Source organism: Homo sapiens, chromosome 11 (genome assembly GCF_000001405.40).
Source record: "Homo sapiens chromosome 11, GRCh38.p14 Primary Assembly".
NCBI classification, from domain to species: domain Eukaryota; kingdom Metazoa; phylum Chordata; class Mammalia; order Primates; family Hominidae; genus Homo; species Homo sapiens.
Window position 1 is genome coordinate 81,435,183 of NC_000011.10, and position 8,804 is coordinate 81,443,986.

Consider the following 8,804-nt stretch of genomic DNA (forward strand, 5'->3'; position numbering starts at 1 on the left):
GTGTGCTTCCAACACTGATGCCACCTGAAAACAAATGATTATACTACATATTTAATCAGGGGCCCTCCTGAGAGCCTTCTGCTCTCACTCGGGCGAAGGATAGCCTATCTTCTTATGAATGCTCTAAAAGCTTTGTCACAGGCAACAAAAATGTGTTCGTTTTTTCTTTACAAAGGCATTGTAATTAGACCAATACTATGAGATTATTTTCTAAGGGCCAACGGAAATGTACACATATAGTGAGTTCTCACTGGCCATTGTTGATAGGTTCTTGGAAATATTAACTTTAAATAAGGTGATATCTATCAAAACCAATTTTTTCTCATTAACACTACAATAAAATGACATTGAAGTAAGCAATATTTTCGAGATTATAGGTTGATTTAATTAAATTCAGTGTTTCTAAAAACCCATCAACGATGTTAAGTGAAGACTTGCTGTATTTAACATGGCTTATTCAGCTGGTGCTGTGTGAATCACATGTATATTATTACATACCATCCCCTTTCTCTTTGTTTCATGTTTTGTTTTGTTTTGGGACAGGCTCTCAATCTGTTGCCTAGGCTGGAGTGCAGTGGCATGATATTAGCTCCCTGCAACCTCTGCTTCCTAGGCTTAAGCAATCCCCCTACCTCACCCTCCCAAGTAGCTGGGACCACAGGCTCGCACCACCATGCCCAGTTAACCATCTTTTTTCTCTTCTGTGCCCTCTGTCTCTCTCTTACTCTGCACACACATTGGCATACATGAAATAAGGGATACATTCTTATTTCCATTTTATTGATGAGGTAGCTAAGACTCTAAGTAGCTAAATACATTGTTCAGATTAAAAAACAAAGAGGCCGGGTGCAGTGGCTCATGCCCTTAATCCCAGCATTTTGGGAAGCCGAGGCGGGTGGATCACTTGAACACAGGAGTTCAAGACCAGACTAGCCAACATGGTGACACCCATCTCTACTAAAAAAATGAAAATTAGCCAGGTGTGGTGGGTGCCTGTAGTCCTAGCTACTCGGGAGGCTGAGGCAGGAGAATCGTCTGAACCCAGGAGGCAGAGGTTGCAGTGAACCAAGATTGTGCCCCTGCACTCCAGCCTGGGTAACAGAGTCAGACTTAGTCTCTTTAGTTTGATGAGTAATAGGCTTAACACTAATCCACAACATGTTCCTCATTGGTTTTAATTTGTGATATAACTTGTTTAGTGTCTTCTCTGGTTGTTGGTAGTGGCAGTGGTAATGTTATCTTTGTCATCATCATCATTTTTAAATATTGTAAATGCACTTCAAGCTCTTTTGGTTATAGCAAGTATGGAATATACTTACACAGCAATTGCTTATTTAGATTAATATTAGGATATAGTCATTGGTGCCGTGGTAGATGGTATTTGTACTGCACTTTGATTCACCAAGTGTTAACCTATGGGTTTAATGTTCACAAATCTACAGCTCACGTAAACGTATCACCATCACTTCATAGATGAGAAACAGAGGCTGAGGGGGGTTAAGTGATAAATCCGAGATTTCACAGACAGTGAGGGGTTGCACCAGCCCCCGCGTCCTGGTTTCCACGGTGCCAATCACATGCCGTTTTCACAATTCCACAAACAGTAATTAATAAACAACTGGGAAAAAGAATCACTTCATTGAATTCTTACATTTTTCTATAGTGCCTCTCTTTCTAAATTTTAACTTTCCACCATGATGCTAGTATAGGTACTTTTGCATTAGACTCTTATCATTTCTTTACAGGGCTTGTCTCCTTGCTCAACAGATTGTGGAAAACCTACACAATTTCTACACATCAACATGGAATCATTGAATAAAGAAAAACCAGAGCAAAACCCTACCCCTCTCCCAAATTACAAGTCTTTCTCTGAGTATCTTAGAAATTCTTATGTGATGAGCCAAGAGTTTTACTTTCTCGGGTAATAAATCCCTTTTCTTGGGGAAAATACCCAAAATATATGTTACTAATGGAAAGCTAATAATATCTAATTCCAAGATGATACTACTCTTATTCTTAGGTTTTACTTTCTCGGGTAATAAATCCCTTTTCTTGGGGAAAATACCCAAAATATATGTTACTAATGGAAAGCTAATAATATCTAATTCCAAGATGATACTACTCTTATTCTTAGGTATGCTTTTATCATTGAAGTAGCATATTTTAAAAACATATCTGACATTTCTAGACTAATCTCTCTAAAATGGCGATTCCTGGTTCTAGTCATTCAGAGCAATGGCACTTTTATTTATCTAGAATATCTATGTAATTACCACGGAAAATTTCTGTTCCACTCAAGTTTTACCTCCTCAAGACCTTTCCTGAGTCATTAGTCTAATTTAGTATTCCTTCACTCTATGTCTCTAAAGCAACTGTTTTATATCTGTAGCACAATATTTTGTTATTGTCATTTTACTGGAACATATCTCTTACTTGTCTTTTAGTTTAGTCTTCCTTTTCCTTTACTCATATTCCCAAGGCAGAGGAGAATAATAATATTCTATACTCAGTAAGTTCTCATTCAATAAATAAATATAGTAACAAAATTTTAGAAATGTGGCTAACTGGAATATAAACATATATTTCTATATATTTTGATATATGAGAATGATTTTCAACAGAGATGATTGCATATAATGTTTGTCCATAAAAGATTCTGTTAAGGGCAAAAAACTTAACCTTTACAGATAAAAATCTAGACTGATTAAGGGAAGACCTTAGCACCTTAGCAGTTATCTATAGGAACTGATTACTAACTATTATTGATAGAGGTACAGAAGACTTAATTTGCAATGTAAGTGATACGTCTGTCATTGTTATGAATTGTCTACCTGGAATTGTAGCTGGTTCTTGGGGGGAGGGTATGCAACACGGAGGTTTGCAAAACACTTCTGTCTAGTTTCCTTCTGACTTCACTTCAGGGTAACAGAATGTACAATGATAGGTTTTTAGCTAATATAGGTGGTTTTAGCTAACATAGGTGGATAAGCTCTTGAGGAACTCACAGCATATATTATAATGTTTCAAATAGCCAGGAGGAGAATATTGAATGTTCCCAACATAAAGAAATGATAAATGTCTGAGCTAATTACACTGATCTGATCACTATACATTATATGCATCACAATATCACAATGTACCTCATAAATATGTATCATTATTAAGTGTCAATTAAGAAATAAAAGAAATGTGGAAAGACTGTCAGTTTAGGTTCAGCATAACAGGTACTGCAATTGATGTATGCATGTAATGCTATGGTGACACAGGCGATGGGAACTTAGTACAACTTTTGTGGCAATTGTATAGGCGTAACTCTTTCTCCATTTTTATTGACTATTATATATAGCACAATGACTAATGCATTATAGATATTCAATACAGTTCAGTTTCCCACCTCTTCTCTTTTTCCCTCTCTTTCTTTATAGATTTTTAAATTACAATTAATAAATTGATCCTTTTACTTTTTTTTTTCATTGACCAGCATTGATTTGCTTATTCTCAGATAGACATTAGGGCAAAGAGTATGGCTTCGTGAAAACCCCAGGGTGAGGTCTCCTTAGATTGTACCCGTGTTTTCTTGTAATAATAAGTGAATATGTTTTGCAATAGATTTGGTCAAATTGAGGATTAAACGTATTATGTCAAAGAGGCATCTATAGACGAATCCCTGTACATTCTTGGATATCTGGTAATTGGAGAGACACTGTAATAAATAGACTGAGGAAAACAGTTTCTGTTTGGGAACAGCCCTGAACACTCTGGGAAGAAGACAAGAGTAAGAAAGGGCAGCCTGTACACTCATATTTGTAGATCTAGAAACTAGTTTGAAGATGTCTATGCTATCTCCTTTGTTCAGGGCACAAAGGGCATCGAGAATTCTCCCTTTCTCCAGCCTGCAAAGAAATCCGTGAAGATCAAACATGAGCAGTGGGGTACAGCTAGCTGGGATGCAGTATTCCTCCACAAAAAAATAGCTGGAGATTCAATTGCCAGAAACGTATTATTTTGCAAATCAAAGTACTCAGGGAAGTTAGATGTCTCCATGATTCAGTTGACTTGTGAGGTGTAAGGAACAAGCCAACATTCTACTATTAATATTATACTAGAAAGAGAAAGAAGGTATTTTGAAGGTTTAGTTGAAGTTCTTAAAATAAAAGAGAACACCTACTAAAGAAAGAGGAAGAGTGGCTTAATAGTTTCTGTATTATATCCTGGCCCAAAAGACAACTACCTAGAAGTCTTTGCACCTATCATAGTGCAAGTTTTATAATATTCCAAATGTACCCTCAGGCAAGTTTCTTTTTATTATTTGTACTGCTTCTTTTCCACTTAAAAATCATTTCATTTTAGGATGCACAATTCTAAAGCAAAGACATTATTTAATTATCTAAAGTCATATGGCTATGTAAGCAAAGAACTCAAGAATTTGTGATCTGTTTGAGAGTACATATGATGTGATACCCTCATCTTTAAACTGTGCTCTACAGAACTCTCAGAAAAGCTACAGATGTGGATCAAGAGTCATGAGGAGGTGAGGGATGGGGCTTGAGAGGGCAGCCCATCAGGATCCTCACCCCTGCACCAAACAGAGAAGCAGCGCTTTTATCTGTCTTATAAATGTTTCTGTGAAATATTTTACTTGAAAAAAAGTTTGTAAGTTAAACATATACTTGAAAGCCATTAGAGTATTGTAAAGAATATGGCTGTAGAATAAATGGACCAAGACTTTATATTGAAACTCTACCACTTACTAATGATATATTCCTGTGAATATGTCTTATTTTTTATCTTTATTTTACTCATCTCTAAAATGGGAATATTACCACTGATTTTATAGAGTGTAGTAGTCAATTTTCATACTGCTATGAAGAAATACCCAAGACTGAGTAATTTATAAATAAAAAGAGGTTTAATGGACTCACAATTCCACAGGTCTGGAGAAGGTATCACAATCATGGCAGAAGGCAAAAGAGGAGCAAAGACACATCTTACATGGCAGCAGGTGGAAGGGCGTGTGCAGGGAAACTGCCCTTTAGAAAAGCATCAGATCATGTGAGACTTATTCACTATCATGAGTACATCATGGGAAAGACTCACTCCCATTACCTGTCACTGGGTCCCTCCCACAACACATGGGGATTATGGGAGCTACAATTCAAGATGAGATTTGGGTGGGGACACAGCCAAACCATATCACAGAGTGATTCAGAGAATTAAGTAAAAGGGAATTAACATTGAGAGAGAATGCATTAATTACCAAGCTCTGAAGAAAACTCCTCAACAAATGCTGTATTTCTCCCTGCTCTTCCCACTCCTCCTGTGTACACTAATGATAATGTACTCACAGTGCAGTGTACTGTTTATCCAGATTAGAATTTATTTATATTATCATGTGTTCTACATTACAGACACATTGGATGTAAAGATGATACAGCATATTTTACGAGAACTTTCACAGTTCCAAGGAAAGGACTTCATTGCTAATCTCTTGCCATTTATTATCTTATTTGAGTACTTGCTGTTAAAGACACTGTGTAACGATCACTCCATTTCTTTCTGGAATTACCGTTCTCTGTACTCCACAGCATGACCCTATAGACACATCATTACTTTCCAGTGTCTTCCAATCTCTGCAACTTTTACAAGTGGTCGGCTCTACCTTTCTATTAGTCACCATGATACTGAGAAAAAAACAAGCAAACAAATAAATTTAGCTAATCTTTCAAAGGATAGAAAATTGCAGTTATATAGGATAAATCAGTATAGCGATCTAACATACATCACGAGGATTGTAGTCAATAATAATGTGTTGTATAATAGAAATTTGCTGAGAGCTTTTAAGTGCTCTTACTACACACACACACACGCACACAAACACACACGCATGGAGATAACTATGTGAGGTGATGGATATGTGAATTTGCTTGACTGTAGTAATAATTTCACTATATACATATATATCAGAATACCCTGTCATACATGTTAAATATATACAACAAAATTAGTGAATCTTGTCTTTATTGGAAAACTGTTAAATCTCCAAACCAAAAGCCCTCTGAAATCTCTTGAAGAATAAAACTGGTGGGTGAAGAGAACAGATAGTTAGATAGATAGACAGATAGATAGATAGACAGACAGACAGACAGACAGACAGATAGATAGATAGATACATACATACATACATACATACATACACACATACATACATAGAAAGACAATTAATTGTTCAATTGCTTCTAACAAAATGAAGCTGTAACATTCCAAATGGAAAATAAAACTGATTTATAGACAGGAATTGGTAATGCCTGAATTAAAATATCTGTACTTAGTCATTTTAGATTCTCAAGAAAGGCACCGTTAAGAAAGTGATTTAAGAAGACAATCAAAGGTACCATGTATTGAGAACTCTTGATGTGATAAGCCTTGGTAGTTGCTTTAGAAGTAGTAAGTTTCATTTTCACAATAAGTTTATAAAATGTATATTATCAAATTCATATAATACATGAAAATGTTGTCTTAGAAGTTTCAATAAGTTGAGCTTAAAGGTAGTGTTGAAGAGAAATGAGAGAAGTAAGTTGATGGAGTTTCTTTTCTGCAGCCTATCAACAGAAATTTCTATTTTCGTAGGTTAGTCCATCTTTCTAATACTTGTTTAAGATAATGGTCATATGCTGATGGCAAATGCCTTCCTATATGGAACTATCTAAATTAATATAGGGAACTAGAATTGGAGTACTGGTTAACAGGAAAATCTTTGGTGTCAGACCCAAGAATAAATCCTGGTTCCAACAATTACTAATTGTGAAACCTTGGATTAATTACAGAACCTCTCTGAATCTTGGTTTGTTACATATAAATTGGAGTTAACCATCCCTAGTTCACACAGCTATGGTGAGGATGATTAAAAAGTGATGTTCAGATGCTGAGGATGTAGTAAGTATTCAGTAGTTAGTTGATGATACTTGAAGATGTTCCCCACTTTCCAAACAACCAAAATTTAGAAGCTTTCTATTTTATCATTGTGAAATTCACCTCTCCTCATCCTCCATTGTGGACACAGATACAATTATAGCCAGATAGAGTATTTACTAATCTTGGTCTCCATGTGTTTGCCATATGAAGCATGTCTGTTTGCTTCTGTGTCACTTTGTCTCCCTAAGGTGGGGTTATTTTGGATTGATAGATTCTCACTCTTTCAGGGTCTCAAACTGCTGAGATTTAAAGGAAAGAGAGAGAAATACATTTCAGCTACTTTTCTCATTTGATCACTCTTGAGTGAAACAATTATTTGAAAAGGTTAAGGAAAATATATATTTGATGATTAGCAATATATTTATCATGTACCTCCTCCAAAAGTCTGGAAGCATATATTCAAAACTATAACAAAATCAATAAACAAATAAAAAAAAAAACTGTTTCTCAATTTTACGAGTTTTAATGCCAACAAAAGCACCTTTCTTGACTTCCATTTTAATGTTATCCTTTTGATTCAGTATAAGCAAATGCCACTGGAAGAATATTCCTAGATTATTTCTGTAGTGACCATCAGACACTCTTCCTTGCATAGTTTCCCAATATATAAATCCCCAGATTAAAATATTACTTACACATTTGAATTTTGTAGATGTTTACTTCTTTTGAAACTAGCATATATTTGCCTATGTCTAACAATAACAGCTGAGTATGGAATCTTTGCTTTTCATATTCACCAAATCTAACAGAAAGTACAGAATTATATTTAATTTTCAATCAAAAATTGTGCTAAATTAAATGTATATATTTCATACATATAGTACAACTTCCAGATCTTCTTTTCCAAGTAATTAAAATATGTATGCCCTGTAATTTACATTTATAAATGATTACCATTAAAAAGGGAATAACAACAATATCAAAAATCAGAAGTCCTATTCTTCAAAATGGCGCCAGATATAGGGGGAACCATCCCCCAATATTTCAATGTAGGTTCTTTTCTATTTTCCCTAAGTGTCAGCTGGTCTGAGAAATAAAGGGAAAGAGTACGAAAGAGAGAAATTTTAAAGCTGGGTGTCCGGGGGAGACATCACATGTTGGCAGGCTCCGTGATGCCCCCTGAGCCGTAAAACCAGCAAGTTTTTATTAGCAATTTTCAAAGGGGAGGGAGTGTACAAATAGGGTGTGGGTCACAGAGATCACATGCTTCGAGGGCAACAAAAGTTCACAAGGCCGAAGGTCAGGGTGAGATCACAAGGTCAGGGTGAAACTAGAATTACTAATGAAGTTCCATGTCCCACTGTGCACACATTGTCATTGATAAACATCTTAACAGGGTTCAAGAGCAGACAACCAGTCTGACTAGAATTCACCAGGCTGGAATTTCCTAATCCTAGCAAGCCTGGGGGTGCTGCAGGAGGCCAGGGCGTGTTTCATCCCTTATCTGAAACTGCATAAGGCAGACACCCCCAGAGTGGCCATTTTAGAGGGCCCCCCCGGGAATGCATTCTTTTCCCAGGGCTGTTAATTATTAATATTCCTTACTGGGGAAAGAATTCAGTGATATTTCTCTTACTCGTTTTTGGCAATAAGAGAAATATGGCTCTGTCCTGCCTGGCTCCAAGGCAGTCAGACCTAATGGTTATCTCCCTTGTTCCCTGAACATCACTGTTATTCTGTTCTTTTTTTCAAGGTGCCCAGATTTCATATTGTTCAAACACACATGCTTTACAAACAATTTGTGCAGTTAACACAATCATCACAGGGTCCTGAGGCGACATACATCCTCAGTTTACAAAGATGACAGGATTAAGAGATTAAAGTAAAGACAG

At 36.2% G+C, this 8,804-nt stretch overlaps 1 annotated feature.

Annotated features, from left to right (window-relative positions):
• Positions 8,058–8,559: an enhancer, noted in NCBI's record as "NANOG hESC enhancer chr11:81154282-81154783 (GRCh37/hg19 assembly coordinates)". NCBI's record gives its function as "activates a minimal SCP1, AML or CMV promoter by ChIP-STARR-seq in primed H9 embryonic stem cells {active_cell/tissue: H9 hESC(primed)}" and the evidence as "EXISTENCE:reporter gene assay evidence [ECO:0000049][PMID:30033119]".